Consider the following 20,686-nt stretch of genomic DNA (forward strand, 5'->3'; position numbering starts at 1 on the left):
AAGAGGATAAATAAAGATGGTGTAAATGGTGTGAAGATAGTTATCTGAAAAGGCTGCTGGGAGGTGCTGGTCTTTTGTTCTGTTCATAGGAGACAATTTTGCGTGCCTACCTTTTTTGGGAGTGTGATCCCCCTTCTTGCTGATGAGGAAGAAGCAAACTATCAGGTTTGAGACAGATAGCCCCCCCACTTATGAGAGGGCGACAGAATTTGAACTCAAAAAGACCCAACCACAGTCAGGTAGTATTGACCCGGGTGTGGTATTGACCTGGAAGTGGTATTGACCCGGAAGTGGTAAGAACATATAAAACTGGAGCCCTGGTTGTTACCACGGCAACCCGTAGTCTGTTGCATGCTGAGTTTGGGGGAGCAGAAGAGTCTCGCGGGGATAGTCAGTGCGCAGGGAGACTAGCACAGGCCGGCAGAGAAGTGACCCAGCCCCGGATTGCCTGGTAACCTTCCGTTCCCAGGAGGCTGCTGTGAGGCTCCTCTGGTAATCAGTTCCCTGAGTCCAGGGTTTCCTAATAGGAGCCCGTCTCCCTCCGGTTCACTTGAAGGGCTCTCTGCTTCTTTCCCTCAAACAGGCTTCATGGAGTATAATGGACCCACAGCCATCTCCTTCCCCAACACCAACTCTGCCTGCATTTTAGGCCAGGTTTGTAGGAGAGTTGAATGAAGATTGAATGAATGAATGATGAAAAGTACAAAATGCCATCACTTCACTTCTTTCAGGAAGACCCAGGACACTCTGCTGCATCCTCCACCTGTTTGTGAATTAAATGTCCATGATGGCTTTTACTAAGCACTTACTATGTGCCAGGCACTGTGCTGAGCTCTGCACCTTTAAGAGGCAGCAAGTCGTGACTGGTTCAGAGCTGGCTCAGAGCTGCCTGAGTTGGAAGCCTCGGATAGGAAAATGGAAGCTTAAAGAGGTTAAGCCCTGGCCAAGCACAGTAGCTCGTGCCTGTAATTCCAGCACTTTGGGAGGCCAAGGCGGGAGGATCACGTGGGCCCAGAAGTTCAAGACTAGCCTGGATAACAAAGTGAAACCTCATTTCTACAAAAAATTTAAAAATTAGCCAGGTGTGGTGGCACACGCCTATAATCCCAGCTACTCCGGAGGCTGAAGCTGGAATATCGCCTGAGCCCACAAGTTCAAGGCTGCAGTGAACTATGATCATGCCACTGCGCTCCAGCCTGAGTGACAGAGCAAGACCCTGTCACTAAAAAAGTTGGGGAGGGGGGTCAAGCCCTCTGCTGAGCTAGTAATAGTGGGACTGAGGTTCAAGCCCATGGCTGATTCCAGATCCTGTTTACAGAGCCGTTATGTGACGTAACTAAAGTGTTGATTATGCATCGACTAGGCACACCATGCAAGGTGCTGCGGATGCTGCTGTCACCAACACACCCAGTCCTGGCCCACAGGGGGCTGCCACCCCAGCCCCCAGTGCTCTCCCTGGATCCTGAATCCTAGCTATCCCTTCAGAGCCACCCCTCTGGCTTCCAAGCACCTGCACTACCCACTCCCACCCCTCCCTGGAAGGGATGGCGCAGCCTGGGAGCCAGCTGCTCTGGGGGGCTCAGACCTGTGGGCTGGATTGTCCATGTGTCAGGGAAGGAAAGGGAAGCCCATGGCAGGAGGGACACCCTCTTATGGGTGGTAGCAACTCCATGGAGCCCAGGCTGCATCGTTCACTGAGGCTGCTAATGTTTGAACCTATCTTTGAATAAGATCCACCCTCTTGCACTGGCAAGTCCAAGCTGTAGTAAACCCTGAGGGAGACCCACAGTCCAGCTGCAAGGCCCTGCCCCACTCTTGGCCGCTGGCAGAAGCTCCAGGCTTGCCGAGGGGTGCCACGTAGCAGAGGCAGTCTCCGCCTCTAGCCCATCCCACTCCTTCATCTGCTTCTCGTTAGCTTCAAAAGTAAGGCCTGGCGCTGTGCCCTGGGCAGGAGGGAGAGCTTGGTGTGGCCGCTCAGAGCTTCACCTCCCTTGCCTGGGGTTTCTCTTCTCCTGCCCCATCCATCGTCAGCACAGCTGACTGCTTCTGGGGCTCCTCTGTCTACCTTCCCCACGTTCCAGCACCCCCCTTCCCCTGCCCCTCTGTAGCAACCGCCTCCCTGCAAAGCCCCACCCACCCACACACTCATACACACACCCCTCTCACTCCCCTGGCACTCAGTCCCTCCAAGCTTCCTTCCTTATCCCTTTAGAGCCCTGCAGCCCTCAGGCAGTGTAGCCCAGAGGTTCAAGGGCATTCGCTCTGGTATCAGAAGGGTCTGGGTTCAAATCCCTTGTGCACTGCTTGCTGGCTGTGTGACTTTGGGCAAGTTGCCTAATCTCTCTGGTCCTCAGTTTTTGCATCTGTAAAATGGGGATGATATTAACAGTACCTACTTCATAGGGTTATCTTGAGGATTAAATAAAATAGTACAAGTAAAGGTCCCAGCATAAAATCAGGGCTGATCCACCTTAGGTATAAAAAGGATAAATTAGGACTTGGAATCTTACTCTTCCTAAGGAGACCTGCAGTTGGCTAAAGGAGGACCTGCCTTCAGGGACAGAAATTCAGGTTTTGTTTTAGAATAGGCCTGAGGGAGTAGGAAGCTGGAGGAACCTGTCTCTATATTCTGGATACCTCAAAGACAGTTAAATTCTGCCGTGGTGAGCATTTATTGAGCACTATCTGTGTGCCAGGCACTGTGTGGGGAAACCACAATCCCTGCAGATCAAGGAGCTCAGATTCTAGTGCCAGAAAAAAATGTAAAGAGAAAGGGCCACCATGCCACCCACTGAAGACGGCAAGGGAAGAGGCCAGAAAGTGCTACGAACAAGGAGGAAACAGCTCCAAGTTGTTGGGCAGTCGGGCGCTGGGTCTCAAAGGAGGGCCACTTGCATGGACAGAAGGTACCCCTCTTACTGAGCACTGGGGGCCTGGTGGGTCCCCTGTGCTCTCCAGGAGAAGCAGGCAGAATTCCTAAGCCCCGTTAGGCCAATGAGGAAGTTGAGGCACCGAGAGTAAGGGGCATCTGCTTCCCCACCAGCTGACTTCTATTCTAGAAAGGAATGTTCTGCACAACCCCAAACCGTCAGCTCTTTCTGCTTGCAAACTTGGCAGGAGTTTGCAGGGAACACAAAGAAGAGAGGGGGAGGAGCAAGGTGGATCAGCCGGGCTGGCTTGCCCAGGGCCTGGCACAGAGGATGGACTTTGTCCCACGTGGGTGAGGGGCGTTCACACACAGGCGTCCACACCCCCACGTTGCTCCACCAGGCAGAAGGCCAGATTTTGTCCTTGTAATTCCCAGAACTGCCCTGAAACAGGACTGCTCACTACTGTGCATGGTTTAAAATGCAGTGGGGGGTTTTGGGGAGTTTTTTCGTTTGTTTTGATACGGGGTCTCACTCTGTCACCCAGGCTGGAGTACAGTGGCATGATCATGGCTCACCACAGCCTCAACCTCCCGGGCTCAGGTGATCCTCCCATCTCAGCATCCCGAGTAGCTGAGACTATAGGCACTTGCCACCATGCCAGGCTGATTTTTTCCATGTTTTTTGTAAAGACAGGGTTTTACCATATTGCCCAGGCTGATCCACCCACCTTAGCCTCCCAAAGTTCTGAGATTACAGGCATGAACCACGGTACCTGGCCAAACATGCAGTAGTTTTAAAAGAAGCCTGCTCAGGGAGAGGAGAAATGAGTCCTGTCAGATCTGCTCCCCCTGGAGAATGGCTTCCTCACCAGCCCAGCCCCTGTCTGTGCCCAGGGGGAAGCAGGCATGAGGAGGACCAAGGGGGCACTGCCATGTACTGGCCCCGAGTAAGCCAGGCAGGCCCTCTGCTGGGATCCTCACAGATGTCAGTCTCCTCGATCCTTAAAATCAGAGCTCTGGAGTCAGTCTCTTGACAGCAAGCCAAGTGGAACGCCTGTGTCTGAGCAGTAGGGCAGAGACCCCGCTCTGCCTGAGCAGCGGAGACATCTCAGATCTCGCGGTTGCAGAGGATCTGCTTCCCCCTCAGATGCCTGCAGGGGGAAAGAAGCGGAGGCAGGGGGAAAGAAGCGGAGGCAGGGGGTTGTCCTGGCTCACTCTGAGCCCGCCTGGCCTGGGTAGCAGGAACAGGAACTCCATAGTGGGGACGAGGTTAGAGAGGAGGTGCTAGCCGGCTGCAGCCCCTCACAGGCAGGGCAGCCAGTTACATCTGAATTACAGATAAACCAGAAATACTTGTAGTTTAAGCATGGCCCAAGGACTAGGGCAGTGGCAGTGGGGGTAAAGAAGGGGAGAGGTTTAAGATTGTATTTGAAGGAACTGAAATCAGGATCTTGAAGAGATGATATCTGCGCACCCAGGTTCATTGCGGTGTTACTCACAAATGGCCAAGATCTGGAAACAACCTAAATGTCCGTCAGTGGAAAAATGGATAAAGAAATTGTAGTATACACCTATGAGGGAATATTATTCGACATTTAAAAAGAAGGAAATCCAGGGCCAGGGTGGTTGGTCACACCTGTAATCCCAGCACTTTGGGAGGCCAAGGCAGGAGAATCAATCACTTGAAACCAGAAGTTTGAGACCAGCCTGGGCAACAAAGCAAGATCCTGTCTCTACAAAAAATTTAAAAATTAGCCGGGTATCATGGCGCATGCCTGTAGTTTGAACTGCTCAAGAGGATGAGGCAGGAGGATCACTTGAGCCCAGGAGCTGGAGGCTGCCCTGAGCTATGACAGCACTGTTGCATTCCAGCCTGGGCAACAGAGCGAGACCCGGTATCTAAAAAAGAGAAAGAAAGAAGAAAGGAGGGAAGGAAGGAAGGGAGAGAGGGATCAATCCTGCCATTTGTGACAACATGGATGGACCTGGAGGACATGATGAGATCCTGAAGTAACTCAGACAGAGAAAATCAAATACTGCTCTTTCTCTCTTATACATGGAACGGAAAACAGCCAAACTCATAGAAGCAGAAAGTAGAATGATGATTGCCAGGGACTGGGAAGAGGGGGAAACAGAGTGATGTTGGTCAAAGGGTACAATGTCTCAGTTACGCAGGATGAATACATTCTGGAGATCTACTGTACAACTAGGGCCTGTGATTAACAATACTGTACTGTACACTTACACATTTGCTAACAGAGTAGATCTCATGTTTAGTCCTCTTACCACATAAGGAAATGAAAAAGAAACAGAGGAGACGGAAGGACACTTAGAGTGATGGATAAGTTTATGGCCTTGATGAATGTTTTCGCAGGTGTGTACATATCTCCATCCATCAAGTTGTATACATTAAATATCTACAGGCTGGGCGTGGTGGCTCATGCCTGTAATCCCAGCACTTTGGGAGGCCATGGCGGGTGGATCACTTGAGGTCAGGAGTTTGAGACCACCTGGGCAACATGGTAAAACCCCATCTCTACTAAAAATGCAAAAATTAGCCAGGCATGGTGGCTCATGCCTGTAATCCCAGCTACTCGGGAGGCTGAGGTATGAGAATCATTTGAACCTGGGAGGTGGAGGTTGCAGCAAGCCGAGATCACACCACTGCACTCCAGCCTGGGAGACAGAGCAAAGTTCCGTCTCAAAACAAACAAAAAAAAAACCTACAGCTTTTTGTGTGTCAATCATACCTCCACACTATGGTTTAAAAAAAGCATGTGATTTGGAGATGGATGCTCTGTGGATTGGTAATAAGTTAGATGTAGGAGACAAGGACATGGGAGAAATCAAGAACAACCCCCAGGCTTCAGGCTTGAGCTACCTCTGGGTTCATGGGACCACTTACTGGGGATGGGAGGGCAGGGCAGGATCAGACTAGAGAGGGGAACCAAGGCTTCTGTTTCTGGTGCTGTTAAATTTGGGAGGATTATTTGAGCCTGAAGTGGAGATTATGGTTATCCAAGCCTGGAGATTCCGGAATTAAGGGAAGGTCTGGCTGTGGCGTTACCAGCACCTGGGTGGAATTTAAAGCCATGGTTCTGGATGCAACCTTGTAGGAAGTGAGAGTTCAGAGAGCAGAGACAACTGTCCAGAGCTAGACCTTGAAGACTCCTCAACGCTGAAGGTCACCGAGAGGAGGGACAGCCAAGGAAACTGAGTCGCAGCAGCCGTGGAGGCAGGCGGGTGAGCACAGAGGGCAACAGAGGGGAGGTTTCTCTGAGCAGCGGGGGTGGCCGCGTTGGATGTTACTAGGAGGACTGATAAGATGGGAAGGGGCAGCCAAAGCCAGCCTGCAGTGAATTGAAGGGGGAACATGAGGAGAGGAAGCCGAGGCAGCCAACGTACCCACCACCGTCAGGAAGCCCTGCAGTGCTGGCTGGGGCAGGGGGCAGATTGAGTAGAGGCCACCGGAGGGCCAGTAAGATTGGGCAGGTCTTCATCGGTGACCTTTGGATGGGTTCCCTGCCTGGAAACATAGAGACAAATCCTGACTGCCCTTGAATTGGCAGTGGGACCTCAGGCAAATTGAGTTGAGTGAGAGATAGTATATAAGGGTGTTTTAATGTGTGCTGAGTGATACAGAGTGGGAGGGATGAACACCCCATGGTAGGTACATGCACACAGGGGGACCCCGCTCAGCAACAGCAGGGGACAAGCTACTGAAACCCACAGCAACGAGGACAGATTTCAGAATCGCTACAGGGAGGGAAAGAAGCCAGAATTCAGAAGGGCACCTGCAGTACAAATCATTTCTAAGAAGTTTTAGAACAGGAAACACTCATCTATAATGAAATAAAAACCTGAACAGGGGTTGCCGCAGGGGGCAGTGTGGGGGTGGCCTGACTGGCAAGGGACACGAAGGAACCTTCTGAGGGGACGGGAACATCCTTCCCTTGGGAGGAGTCTGATTTAACAGATGTCTGCATTTGTCACAATCCAGCAAATGGTGCACTTAAGATTGGAACATTTCACTCTATGTAAATTTTACCTAAAATGAACTATAAAGGCATTCCTGAATGCTACTTAATGATATACATGTGGAGACCTTTGGGAGTGAAGTGTACTGAGGTTTGTGGCTCCCCTTGAAAGGTGGAAAACAATAAGATGAAGTAATGGGTAGATGCAGAGCTGTGTGATGAAGAGATACAGTAAAATGCCATCTAGGGGGTACATATGTGGGTGTTCACTGGAAAATGCATTCAACTTTTCTGTGTGTTTGAAAATCTTTATAATAAAATGTTGAGGGGAAATTTAAAAAAAAGGATGTGAAACTACTTTTCTTTTCTTTTTTTTTTTTTTTTTTTGAGACAGAGTTTCGCTCTTTGTTGCCCAGGCTGGAGTGCAGTGGTGTGATCTCGGCTCACTAAAACCTCCGCCTCCTGGGTTCAAGAGATTCTCCTGTCTCAGCTTCCCAAGTAGCTGGGATTACAGGCACCCACCACCACACCCGGCTAATTTTTGTATTTTTAGTAGAGACAGGGTTTCACCATGTTGGCCAGGCTGGTCTTGAACTCCTGACGTCAGGTGATCTGTCCACCTCGGCCTCCCAAAGTGCTGGGTTTACAGGTGTGAGCCGCTGCGCCTGGCCAAGAAGACTTTTCATCCAATGCAAAGATACTTGTTGGGCACCTGCCATTATGTCAGGTGCTGCAAGGCAGGGGACGCAGTGCTGATGGAGATGTCCAAAGCTATGGCACGAGGCATCATCCAAGTGACAGGCAACTGAGCCAGCTCCTCAGAGCAGAGCGCTGTCGTTGTCCCTTCTCAGAGAGGACACCCAGGGCCAGAGGCAAAGGAGGAAAGCACAAGTGGGTCTGCTAGGAACTAATTTAAAGAAGCAAGTCAGCTGGGCTCGGTGGCTCACACCTATACTCCCAGCGCTTTGGGAGGCCAAGGCAGGAGGATCACGAGCCCAGGCATTCAAGGCCAGCCTGAGCAGCATGGCAAGACCCTATCTCTACAAACAAAAATTAAAAAAAAAAAAAAAAAAAAGAACAAGTCTCTGGGGCCTGTGCAAAGGGCAGCAGGGTGACTGGGTCCCCGGAGATTTGGGTTGGGATATTCAACACGTGCCTCGGAGAATGAAAATACAGTCAGGTTTGGGAACAACCACTTCAACCCCAGGGGTTGAAATATGCCCCCATCTAACTGCCCACTGCTCGGGGCTTCTGAACGTTTCAGCCCCTCCGTTATAAACAAGGGAACAGGAAACCCAGGATTGCCCTCCCCACCAAAGGTGTATCTGTAGGAATGTTCACCATAGCCTTGTTTTTTGTTTGTTTGTTTTTTTGAGACAGAGTCTCTCTCTGTCACCCAGGCTGGAGTGCAGTGGCACAATCTCGGCTCACTAAAACCTCTGTCTCTCAGGTTCAAGCGATTCTCCAGCCTCAGCCTCCTGAGTAGCTGGGATTACAGGTGCCTGCCACGACACTTGACTAATTTTTGTATTTTTAGTAGAGATGGGGTTTTGCCATCTTGGCCAGGCTGGTCTCGAACTCCTGACCTCAGGTGATATGCCTGTCTCAGCCTCTCACAGTGCTAGGATTACAGGCATGAGCCACCGCGCCCAGACCCCATGGCCTTGTTTTTAAGAGTGAACATGTGGCAGCCGCTGCCACATGCAGCTACAGGGGACTGGGTCAGTCATTTATGATGGTTTAAAGTGCAATGGAACTCCATGCAACTGTCAGAATTAGTGAAATAAATCTATAGGTCCTGGACCTTGAACTGCCCAAAACTTAATATATTGTTAAATATATATACACACACAGACATATAATATGTACATTATGATCCCATTTACATAAAACTATATGTAGGTAAATGTGTGTAGATACATATATATAGGTGTGAATATAAATATATATAAATACACACGCACACACAGAGCACCATAATAAAGTTCACCAAAATGCTAATAACAGTGATCTCTTCATAATGGAATTTGAATCATTTTTTCTTCACTTTCTTCTTGGTATTTTTCTACATTGTTTAAAATTTCACAATAAGTGTATATAATTTTAATGAAGCAATTATTTTTAAAAAAAATAATTGTGCAGGAGGTTTCAGAGTAAGTTGATGTCCACAAAGTGCTTAAGAGACTGTCACTTTGGCCGGGCGCAGTGGCTCACGTCTGTAATCCCAGCACTTTGGGAGGACAAGGCCGGAGGATCACCTGAGGTCAGGAGTTTGAGACCAGCCTGGCCAACATGGTGAAACCCCATCTCTACTAAAAATACAAAAATTAGCCGGGCATGGTGGCGAGCACCTGTAATCTTAGCTACTCAGGAGACTCAGGCAGGAAAATTGCTTGAACCCGGGTGGTGGAGGTTACAATGAGCCGAGATCGCACCATTGCACTCCAGCCTGGGCAACAAGAGCGAGACTCTGTCTCAAAAAAAAAGAGAGACTGTCACTTAGCCCCCGCCATGGTGGTGGAGGCCTGAGTCAGGGAGAGGTTGGGGAGGTGGGCTAAGGACTCTCTCGAGCTATGACTGAGAGCTCTCCTGTCCCCTCCCTGAGCCCTGAGGCAGGACTGGCTATATTTTTGTGGGGTTCAGTGCAAAATGAAAATGTGGGCCCCTTGTTCAAAAGGTATTAAGAATTCCAAGATAGTGACAGCAGAGTACGAAGCCAAGTGCAAGGGCTCATCTGGGCATGGGACACCATGTGACTCCACAGGTTACAAGCCCATGAGGCTGGCCCTGCCTGGCAGGACCATGTGAGCAAATTACAGAGCAGGGGATGAGGCCAGGAAAATGGTCAAGGAGGAGCTGGTCTGGGCCTTAAGATGCCATGGACCCACACAGACCCTTTCAGTTGACCAGGAATCTTGCCAGAACAAACCTTATAAACATTCATGCTTGTGCATTTGAAACCGTGGCTCCTGAGATGTTAAAAGCCCAACGGCAGGTTCCAAGGGCCCTGAGTCATTGGGCAGCTTTAATTAGCAAGAATTAGAGTCAGGAGGGGCTTAAGCTCAGGCCAGGCAGGTGGGCCTGGAGGGCTGCTTGTAGGAGGTGGCCTCTGCCTGCTGTGTGGAATCCCGGGGCTGGCCAGAGGGAACCTCCTCCAGGAACCTTCCACCCCCAGCCCCCGGAAGCTGCTGGTGCCCCTTGGCCCAGCCTGCTACCTTCCCCCAAGTCTCTGTTGGGGCGGTCACCCCAACACGTCACAACGTGGCTGCTCCTGGGGAAACCTGCTCCTGCGCCACCCACCACCATGTCCCACCCCCGCACCTCCTGGTTCCTGGGCACCACAAAGAGAGCCTGTGTTGAGGCCCAGCCGCGCTGAGCGTGCAGACAGCCTACACCTCCCGTAGGCCACACGGCACAAAGGCTGGTCTGTGTGGCCTGGCCTGGAGGGCCCACCGCCTCCCTTCCTCCACCAGGCACTAGGATCAAGTCATCAAAGGTCCCAGGAGGCTGCCAGGCTGGCTGGACAGCCGAGGAGACAAGAGCTGCTCAGCTGACCCTGCCAGACTCCAGTGTGTCCAGCAAGCAGCAGCCACTTCCAGGCTCACGGGCACTCACTGGTGACATGTGCACAGCCTCCAGCCTCTCTGAAGGCTCCTTACCCCTCTAAGTTCAGCTGAAGGGCTTATTCAGGCTCTCCCCTAATCAGGGCCCCTGCCACCAGCCTTTCCCCACCCTGCAACCCACCAGTGATGGGTACAAAGACGTGCCATCACTCCCACTATCTGTAGAACAGCCCAGAACTGATGAGGGTTTAATGCTGTCCACAGCAAACCTCACCAATAAGAGTTTGGCTTATGTCCTCAGATGATTCTAACAGAATGGAGTCCAGGCGCCCACACTAGCAACAGGCTTTTAATGCAGCCACTGTTGGCTCCCCGTCTCCTGTCCCCCTTCCCCCTCCCCTCCCTTGTGCCTCGGAATCACCTGACACATAAACCTCCTGCGCCCAGATCCTTGTCTCAGAACTGCCATTCCAAGTCTCTCCCAGCCTTGATCTCACCCCCCTGCTTCACTCATATGGCTCATGCCTGTAATCCCAGCGCTTTGGCAGACTGAGGCAGAAGAACCACTTGAGCCCAGGCATTCGACACCAGCCTAGACAACATCGCGAGACCCTGTCTCTACAATAAAATAGACAAATTAACCAGGTGCAGTGGCATACACCTGTAGTCCCAGTTAATCAGGAGGCTGAGGCAGAGGATCACTCAAGCACAGGAGTTCAAGGCTGCAGTGAGCTATGACTGTGCCACTGCACTCCAGCTTGGCTGACAGAGCAAGACCCTGTCTCTAAAAATAAATGAATAAATAATCATAGCTGCAACACACATGCATCCCATGCCTGTTAGGAGTGTGTGGAGGGGGAGTTTGGGTGAGGGGAGATCCCTGCAAGGGCCCCTGCTGCCCTTTTCCTCCGTGGGTTTCATTTTATGGGAAAAGAGAAAGAAAGTAGAATCTATGGAGACAAAAAAATGGGAGAAAGGGGCAAGGGGAGGGAGAAGGGGTATGTGGCATAGAGGGACACCACCTCCAGGGGACAAGCCAGGAGGACGCCTCCCTTGGGGCAGCCCCTCCCTCTCTCCACTCAGCTGCTTCTCCAGGAAGCCCCTTTATCCACACAGGGCTCCCCTAAGTCCTGCTCACAAAGGCATTTAGGACTCAGCTGGACTCCGCAGGGTGAGTAGTGTGCTGGTTAGGGTATTTCCATCGCTTCCCGAACATTCCCTGCCTGGCCCTGCCCCCTGGAAGGCTGAGCCCTAGGGACTGCACTGTCTGGGATCCCTGGTCCTCCACTTCCTGGTTAATCCAGCCAATAGCCTACAGTGGCAGGAGATGGGGGTTGTGGGGGGTGGGGCAGTGGGGAGGCAAAGTGTAGAATATTTATCCCCCACATTCTTCTCTCCCTCCCTCCCCATGGTTCTGGCAGGGGCTTCAGTCGGTGGCCCTCCTCCACGCTGCCCTTCTCCCCAGCAGCTGGAAACACTCTTCCATGGCCTTCCACTGGAGGGCATAACAGCTCCCCACTGCTGCTAGTGCCTGCGTGCCTCAACATCCCTTGTTTCCCTAAACTCAGACCAGGAGCAGACCCTCCATTAAGAAAATCTCTTTTGAAATCCCTTGAGGTACCACGGTTTTCTGTTGATGCCCTAACAGAGTCAGGTGCCTCAGAGTCACCTCCAAGTAACTCCTGGAAGCCCCTGGCTCCAGCAACGTGGCAAATATCAGTATTCAGCTCAGATGACCTGGGTTCGAATCTGAACTTCACCATTTACTTCCAAGTTGCGTGGCTTCTCTCAGCCTTTGTTTCTGCATCTGGAAAATGGGCGTGATCACAGCAGTGCTAAATGTCTCAGAATTCTCAATGTGGCAAATAACTGACCCCACTTCAGGCCAGCCCAGGAGACAAAGAGGGATTTACCGAAGGGCTGTGGGACCCCTGATAAGAACAACGGACTCCATGCAGGTTCTCACGACTGGTTCTCTCTGTCTCTAGGTATCTGCTTCTCTCCCTTGTCCCTGCTCTCTGCTATACCTCACATGTGAGGTATACGGCTCCCCTCCAGCTCATGAGTTTACATGCTCTAAATAGATACAGACTCCATTCTCCCTTCCACAAAGGCAAGCTCATACTTGCATACTGTACCACAACCCACTTCTATCCACTCATCCTCAGGAACCTCTTCCCGTCCCTGAATACCTTCTACACTGAGGGATGACAGCGTCCCGGTGAGCAGCCACGAAAAATCCACTGGACGTTCCATCAATATTTATCTTATTGACTTGTGTCTTTTCTTAGTAACTATCAGTGGATTCCGGAATGCATTCCCCTCTTCAGAACCCTATCTCAGGACCCCTTTGAAAGCAGGGAACTTGCCATCCTACTGTCCTGATTTCTTTCCTCCAGCCCCCAACCCTTGATCTGGCTTTCATGTAAGGCTCACAGTAGTGAAAACAGCAGCAGACCTGGTGCCGTCTCTCTCCAGTCCTGTTGTAACTTACTCTGAGCTTTCCGGGGCTATCGCCCTTGGGGATGAAACCATCTTCAATTTGGTCCAGCAGCTGTGACTTTTAAAACTCAGTTGAGTCTTGCACTGAAGAAAGACACAAAGCTACCCTTCTCCTCTTCTCCAAAGGTCAGCTCTGGTTTTTAAAGTTCAAACAATAGCAATTCAATTGAACACACAGATCCTAAATCTTTCCTGAGGCCTTCAAAAGAGAAAGAGAACACCACAGAGCTTTTAAAAATATTGTACAAAATCAAATTTTGAATATCACATCTTCCAGGGTCCCTGGAGATGCAGATGGCACACTCAGACTGGGCAGTTTGAGGGGAGTTTAATAAAGAGACTATTTACAAAGGCACAGATAGGATTTAGGAAATCAGTGCAGGCTAATTCAGAATTCTGTGGCCAGCAACATCAGGGGACGATTCCTAAAAGTGAAGAAGTAATTACAGGAAGCCAAGAGGGTAGTGGCAATGAGAGCTCCCTGGACAGAAGCCAGGACCTTTAGGAAGAGGAAGTACATGACCCACAGGGAATCCGAAAGGAAGGGCTGGGGAGGTGGATACCCAGACTCCCTCCCCTCCTGTCTTCCACACACTATCCCGTGGAGTGAACCCAGCTGGAAACTAGACATCATGGGAGCCCACTGCTCCAGGCTCCAGAGCCCTGCATCCCAGGACACAGAGCAGACAGGGAACAGGCAAGGCTGGGAGGGGAGCAGGGAGGAGAAGCAAACCGAAGCAAGCCCAGTGCAGATGCTTTGAGAGTTTACAACCCAATTAGAAAGTACGAATTTAGTGCAGAAATTGGGGAGCAATTACATGCACAGCTAAATGATTTTTTTGTTGTTTTATAAATATTTTCAACAAGTTCCCTTTAAAAAGCAAATGTCCCCCTGCAATTAAAATATGATTTCACTTACAGGAAATTCTACTCACTCAGAGCTGTTCCAGACCCCAGACATTCAGGTAAATAAAGGTATGGAGCAAGCTTGTGTTGGCTTTGAGTCAATTGCATCTCCCACAGACATCCCCTCCAGCAACCTCCTTGATGACGTTCAAGCCAGGGAGAGGACAAATAGTTCCCCAAAAGAAAATTGGAGGGCTGCTGGAAGGGGAAAGATGCACCGGAAGGCCACAGAATGCCAGACAGCCATTCCACGAAGACACGCATTAACTCACAAAGGTCATACCATCTGTAAGTGGCTAAGCTCAGGTGGAAATTCCAGCCTGTCCTCCCCAATGGCCTTCACAAATATTCCAGAGGGCCTTCCACATGGAACTATGATCTGTAAGCCCTGGTTCAGCAGGGTCCTTCTTTCCAAGAGAGGTTCTTTTCTGGGCACTCCCATCAGGAACACCCAGGTCTACCCACGTGTGCCTTCTGTCTTGGGGGACCTGGTAGTTGGCAAGTATCTTCCAAGGGAGGTCCTTCTTTGGGGATTTTTCTGTGCTCTCCGCGTCCTGGCTGTGAGACATCGTGGCAGAGTAGTACTTCACTGATACTAATTCCAGGTATGACACCAAGAAGCCCAGCCCCAGGGCCCAGTGGTGGAGGGTGGGATTCTGCTCAACTGCAAGGCCCAAGCCCATCCCCAGTCCCCTGCCAGCAGACAAATGGCTGGACCCACACATAGCACTCTCTGCTCCTGGGACAGGATGTCAGCCAGCGCTCTGCTGGATACAAGATCTCAAAGACAGACATCAGGGAAACAGAGAGAGACCCACATGACTGTTTCAAACAAGTCATGCTCAAACCTTCTTCTTCTAATTCCTAATGTACCCCTCTCTTCTCACCTGATGCTAAGCAGTAACGGTGCCTTCATAAACTCGGAAAAGGAATCAGGAAAGCACCACCCTGGCCTGAGCAATAACAAAGTGCATGAAGGTCAGAAGCCGCTGTGTTTTTAAGAGGCTGTTTTATTTATTTATTTATTTAGAGACAGAGTCTTGCCCTGTCACCCAGGCTGGAGTGCAGTGGTATGATCTTGGCTCACCGCAACCTCTGCCTCCCGGATTCAAGCGATTCTCCTGCCTCAGCCTCCTGAGTAGCTGGGATTACAGGCACATGCCACCGCACCCAGCTAATTTTTGTATTTTTATTAGAAACAGGGTTTCACCATGTTGGCCAGCGTTGTCTTGAACTCCTGGCCACAAGTGATCCGCCCACCTCGGCCTCCCAAACTGGTAGGATTATAGGTGTGAGCCAGCGCGCCCAGCCAGAAGCTGTTTTTAATAACTGACCTTTTCAGACAAATCCCAGCAAACTTTCTCCCTTAGCACCATCTCTGAGGCCACGGTGGGTGGGGTGTGTCACCACGCCTCTCTGTAACACCTCCTGTGCCCTCTTGAAATGGTTATTGTTTCCTGAGTGGTGGCTGTGGACTTGTGGCCTCGTTAAGTCATATTATCTCAATGGAAGCCATTGTCTCCTGCTGGAGGCTCCACGGCTCCTGTCTTCATAATGCAACACCCTGACCCTGAAGTCTTGCTCTGTGGAGACTGTAACAAGATCCTGGCAGGGCTCAAAGGAAACCTTTCTTCTCTCCCAGCACATGCAGAAGTCCCACTGGCAGGGCCAAGGCATGGAGCTCTCCATCCCGGAACTGGGGCTTGAACTTGGCCAACCTGAGTTGGGGCAGATCATACCCTCCAGCTCTGGTCTGTCCTGATTTTCTTCTGGCCACAGCACATCCCCTCCCACTGTTCCTGTGGCAGCCAGCCTTCCAGATGCACCCCACCTCCTGGCAATCCTGCCCTCATGTAGTCCCCTCCCACATTAAATAGGGCTGACCTGTGTTACCAGTTGTGGAAATGACAGACTGTGACCAGGTCATCATAGATATTGCGGCTTCCATCTTGCTCTCTCTTGAATCACTCACGATGGCGAGAGTCAGCTGCCATGTTGTGAGGCTGCTTAAGCAGCCCTGTGCAGGCGTCCAGAAGGTGAAAAACTGAGGCCTCCTGCCAACAGCCACACGAACTCATCATCCGTGGTGGGAAGCCATCTCCAGCCCCAGCCACGCCTTCAGGTGACTACAAACCCAGCTGCATCTTGATGCCAACCTCATGAGTCAGAAGCCACTCCTGGATTCCCAACCCACAGAAACTGTGAGACATTAAATGATTATTGTTGCTTTAGGCCACTATGTTTTGTTCCACGGGATGATTTGTTCCACAGCATTAGCTAGCTAATATTCGTCCAGAGAGGTCAGCCTCCTGGGGTCAGAGTAGAGGAGGTCAGAGAATGAACACGGAGGGGCAGACAATGCAGAGTCAGAACACTTGGTTTCCTGATCCCATATTGTCCTGCTACACATTTTCAAAAAGGGGAGGGGTATTAAAAATGAAGCAAAGTAGTTCAGTATGCTTCAACCAGCCGTGATCACCCTGGGACCATCTGCTTCTATGAACTGGACACTATCGTCCCATAGTGCCCCAAATTAGGTTCCCCTTACAAAAACAGCACCACGCTGGTGGCGACTGAAACCCTGAGCTTCTTTTCACACACACCGCCCAGACCGCCCAGACCTCCTCAACTGGTTCTATGCTTGGACACCAGATTTCTCTTTAAAACCTAACTTTCTCTGATATCAATTGATCTTGGCCTTACTCCAAAGTTCCAATCTATCGAAATCACTTTCATCTCCCATTTGGCTGTCACTTTCACTGTTCCCTCCAATATGTGTCACCTGCACATCTGACCCTGTACTTTCTGCCATCTTCATCCAGAAAGTGGACTGAACGTTGATTGGCTAGGGCAGAGCTCACCACAGAGCCCTTTGGTACTCCATGACCACCAGGGCAACGGACTCCTTGATGGCAAACACTTTGCTGATAGACGTGCAATCTGCCATAAATCCCACCAAAAAACACCGTCATTACCAGTGAGTTTGCCAATCCTTTATTAAAATGCCGGCTGGGGGTGGTGGCCTATGCCTGTAGTCCCAGCTACTCAGGAGGCTGAGACTGGATCACTGGGGCCCAGGTGTTCGAGATTGGCATAAACAACATAGCAAGACCCTGTCTCACAAAAAAACAAAAAACAAAAAACAAAAAAAAACAGTAACATAAAATGCTGGCTGGACACAAATTTATTTACCCCATTATCCAGTACTGTCTAAAAAGAAAGTTGGTTTGTGTATTCGTTGCCTGTGGTTGCTATAATTACCATGAACTTTTGGTCTTAAAACAACAGAAATTTATTACCTCACAGTCCTGGAGACCAGAAGTCTGAAATCAGTGCCACCAAACTGAAATCAATCCATCAGTGGGGCTGTGCTCCCTCTGGAGGCTTTAGGAGAGAAACTGTTCCTTGCCTCTTCCAGCTTCTGGGAGCTACAGCATTCCTTGGCTTATGGCCACATCACTCTAATTCTCACATCCAGTGTCTTCAAATCCTTCTCTTCTCTGTCTTCACATGGCTTTCTTCTCTGAGTGTGAGTCAAGTCTAACTCTGTCTTATATGGACACTTGTGATGGCATTTAGGGCCCACAGGAGAGTCCAGGATAATCTCTTATCTCAAGATTCTTACTCACTTCTGCAAAGACCCATTTTTCTTACAGGGTAACATTTATAGGCTCCAAGGGTTAGGACCTGATATCTCTAGGGGGCCATTATGCCACCCACCACAGCTGGGCACAGCTCATCCCCACCAAACTCTCCCACCTCACCATCACTGCATTTTTTTTCCCTGCTGTTCACAAATGAGTTTATGTCACGCTCTGCTCTATAATTTTCCAAAAGTCAACATCAAGGTTACTGTCTCTACATTTTGGAATCTGCTTGAGACCTGTAATTCACCCAGCCACATCAGTCTGGACATTAAAAAGAGGTCATAATAAACAAAAATAGCATTTCTTAGGTTTGCCATTATTGCTGGCTCTCCAGTCCCTTAGAAACGTCAAGAATTCTCAGAATGTGTTCTCAAGTGGAGGCAGCATAGAGGTTGCAATCAGCTTCTCAAGTCAGACTGCCTGGGTCTGAATACTGCCTCTGTCACTATGGCCAACTGTGTCTTCCAAAGATGGCCACAAAAATCTCTCCCTTCCCACATGCTCTTCTGCAGCATGGCCTTGCCCCATCCCACCAGGGGGTCCATTTCTTCACCCCGCTCTAAAATGCATATGGCACAAGTGACACTGCCATTTAAAGACAAGGCCCTTAACAGTTGCCTGTTCCTGTCTCTTGGAATGTTTGTTCTTGAGACTCTACGCTCAGAACTCAGCCACCATGTTGTGAGGAAGCCCTCACCACATGAAGAGACCCCTTGCAGAAGTTCTGGCAGACTGCCTCAGCTGAGCTTCCTGCCATCAATGGCCAGTGTGCAAGTGAGCCACTGTGGGCCTCCAGCCCAGTCGAGCCTTCAGACCCTCCAGCCCCAGCCAACACCTGACTGCAGCCATGGCAGACCCCAAGTGAAAGCCACCCAGCTGAGCCCAGCCAATTCACAGAAGCAGAAGTAATTGCGAAGTGTTGTTTTAAGCCACTGGATTTGGGGACAGCTCATTTTACAGCAATAGATATTCAGAAGAGCCACTTATTGACTGAGTAACCTGAAGCAAGTGACAAGCTTAAGCTTAGGTTCCTGCCAGAAGCACATACCGAGACAAAGGCTTGGAGCATATAGTTTATTTGGGTGATGAATCCAGGAAATACAGGTAGGGGATTAAAACTAAAACTACTGCATGATCCAGCAATCCCATTTCTAAGTATATAACTAAAAGAATTAAAAATAGGATTTTGAAGAGATATTTCCATACCTATGTTCACTGCAGCATTATTCACAATAGTCACAAGGTGGAAGCAAACTAAATATCCATCAACAGGTCAGGTGTGGTGGCTCACACCTGTAATTCCAGCATTTTGGGAAGCCAAGGCTGGAGGATCACTCTAGCTCAGGAATTGGAGATCAGCCTGGGCAATACAGTGAGACCTCATCTCTATTTTTACAAAAATAACAATTAAATGTTTAAAAAAGTAAATATCAGCCAGGCATGGTGGCTCACACCTGTAATCCCAGCACTTTGAGAGGCCGAGGTGGGTGGATCATCTGAGGTCAGGAGTTCAAGACCAGTCTGGCCAACACAGTGAAACCCCATCTCTACTAAACATACAAACAATTGGCTGGGTGTGGTGGCGGGTGCCTGTAATCCCAGCTGCTTGAAAGGCTGAGGCAGGAGAATTGCTTGAACCTGGAGGTGGAGGTTGCAGTGAGCTAATATGGCGCTATTGCACTCCAGCCTAGGCAACAAGAGCAAAACTCCGTCTCAAACAAAAAACAAGAAACAAACAAACAAAAAATATCCATCAACAAAAACTATTAGAATTGATAAATTCAGTAAAGTTGCAGGATACAAAAAAAACATACAAAAATCAGTAGCATTTCTATATGCCAACAGCAAACAATCTGTAAAAGAAATCCAGAAAGTAATTCCATTTACAATAGTTACCAATGAAATAAAATACCTAGGAAATAACTTAACCAAAGAAGTGAAAGAGCTCTACAATGAAAACTACAAAATCTTAATGAAAGAAATTGAAGACACCAAAAAATGAAAAGATATTACATGTTCATGAATTGAAATAACCAATATTGTCAAAATGTTCATACTATCCCAAGCAATCTATAGATTCAATACAATCCCTATCAAAATAACAATGACATTCTTCACAGAAATAGAAAAAAAAATCCTAAAATATATATGGAACCACAAAGACCCAGAGTATCCAAAGATATCCTCAGCAAAAAGAACAAAACTGGAGGAATCACATAACCTGACTTCCAGTTATATTACAGAGCTATAGTAACCAAAACAGCACAGCACTGGCATAAAAACTGACACGTAGACCAACAGAAAACAATGGAGAACCCAGGAAAAAACCCATACATCTACAGTGAACTCATTTTTTACAAAGGTACCAAGAACATACATTGAGGAAAGGACAGTCTCTTCAATAAATAGTGCTGGGAAAACTGGATATCCATATGCAGAAGAATGAAACTAGACCCCTATCTCTTGCCATATACAACAATCAAATCAAAACGTATTAAAGACTTAAATCTAAGACCTGAAACTATGACACTATTAAAAGAAAACATTGGGAAAAAATCTCTCCAGGACTTTGGACTGAGCAAAGATTTCTTGAATAATACCCCACAAGCACAGACAACTAAAGCAAACATGGACAAACCACATCAAGTTAAAAAGCTTCTGCACAGCAAAGGAAACAATCAACAAAATAAAGAAACAACCCACAGAATAGGAGAAAATATCTGCAAACTATCCATCTGGCAAAGAATTAATAGCCAGGACATATAAGGAGCTCAAACCAGTCTATAGAAAAAAATCTAATAATCCAACCAAAAATGGGCAAAAGATCTGAATAGACATTTCTCAAAAGAAAACATACAGATGGCAAACAGGCATATTGAAAGGTGCTCAACATTATCGGTCATCAGAGAGATGCAAATCAAAACTACAATGAGAGGTCATCTCACCCCAGTTAAAATGGCTTTTGTCTTTTGGACAGGCAATAACAAATGCTGTCAAGGATGTGGAGAAAAGGGAACCCTTGTACACTGTTGGTGGGAATGTAAATTAGTACAGCCACTAGGGAGAACAGCTTGGAGGTTCCTCAAAAAACTAAAAATAGAACTACCATATGATCCAGCAATTCCACTGCTAAAAATATACCCCCAAAAAAGGAAATCAGCATAATGAAAGGATATCTGCACTTCCATGTTTGTTGCAGCTCTGTTCACAATAGCCAAGATT

At 49.0% G+C, this 20,686-nt stretch overlaps 1 long non-coding RNA gene across 3 annotated transcripts, besides 5 other annotated features; it reads left to right on the plus strand.

Annotated features, from left to right (window-relative positions):
- Positions 1-366: 366 nt before the first annotated feature.
- LOC105372548 (uncharacterized) lies at positions 367-10,391 on the plus strand. Of its 3 annotated transcripts, none has more exons than XR_937297.3 (4): positions 367-451; positions 584-654; positions 5,986-6,112; positions 10,320-10,391. It is a non-coding gene; the product is annotated as an uncharacterized LOC105372548 (long non-coding RNA). The 3 variants fall into 3 exon arrangements; XR_937296.4 differs by having other exon boundaries at positions 401-492; XR_007067542.1 differs by lacking the exon at positions 584-654 and having other exon boundaries at positions 406-492.
- Positions 3,584-4,486: an enhancer, noted in NCBI's record as "H3K4me1 hESC enhancer chr20:17856497-17857399 (GRCh37/hg19 assembly coordinates)". NCBI's record gives its function as "activates a minimal SCP1, AML or CMV promoter by ChIP-STARR-seq in primed H9 embryonic stem cells {active_cell/tissue: H9 hESC(primed)}" and the evidence as "EXISTENCE:reporter gene assay evidence [ECO:0000049][PMID:30033119]".
- Positions 9,780-10,693: an enhancer, noted in NCBI's record as "H3K27ac-H3K4me1 hESC enhancer chr20:17862693-17863606 (GRCh37/hg19 assembly coordinates)". NCBI's record gives its function as "activates a minimal SCP1, AML or CMV promoter by ChIP-STARR-seq in naive H9 embryonic stem cells {active_cell/tissue: H9 hESC(naive)}" and the evidence as "EXISTENCE:reporter gene assay evidence [ECO:0000049][PMID:30033119]".
- Positions 15,176-15,470: a silencer, noted in NCBI's record as "tiled region #2615; K562 Repressive non-DNase unmatched - State 23:Low". NCBI's record gives its function as "represses a minimal TATA promoter and a strong SV40 promoter by Sharpr-MPRA in K562 cells {active_cell/tissue: K562}" and the evidence as "EXISTENCE:reporter gene assay evidence [ECO:0000049][PMID:27701403]".
- Positions 15,176-16,552: a biological region, named in NCBI's record as "BRD4-independent group 4 enhancer GRCh37_chr20:17868266-17869465".
- Positions 15,353-16,552: an enhancer, noted in NCBI's record as "BRD4-independent group 4 enhancer chr20:17868266-17869465 (GRCh37/hg19 assembly coordinates)". NCBI's record gives its function as "activates an origin of replication core promoter dependent on BRD2, P300/CBP, MED14 and CDK7 cofactors, and independent of BRD4, by STARR-seq in HCT116 cells {active_cell/tissue: HCT116}" and the evidence as "EXISTENCE:reporter gene assay evidence [ECO:0000049][PMID:35650434]".

The sequence above is a fragment of the Homo sapiens genome, chromosome 20 (assembly GCF_000001405.40).
Source record: "Homo sapiens chromosome 20, GRCh38.p14 Primary Assembly".
Taxonomy (NCBI): Eukaryota; Metazoa; Chordata; class Mammalia; order Primates; family Hominidae; genus Homo; species Homo sapiens.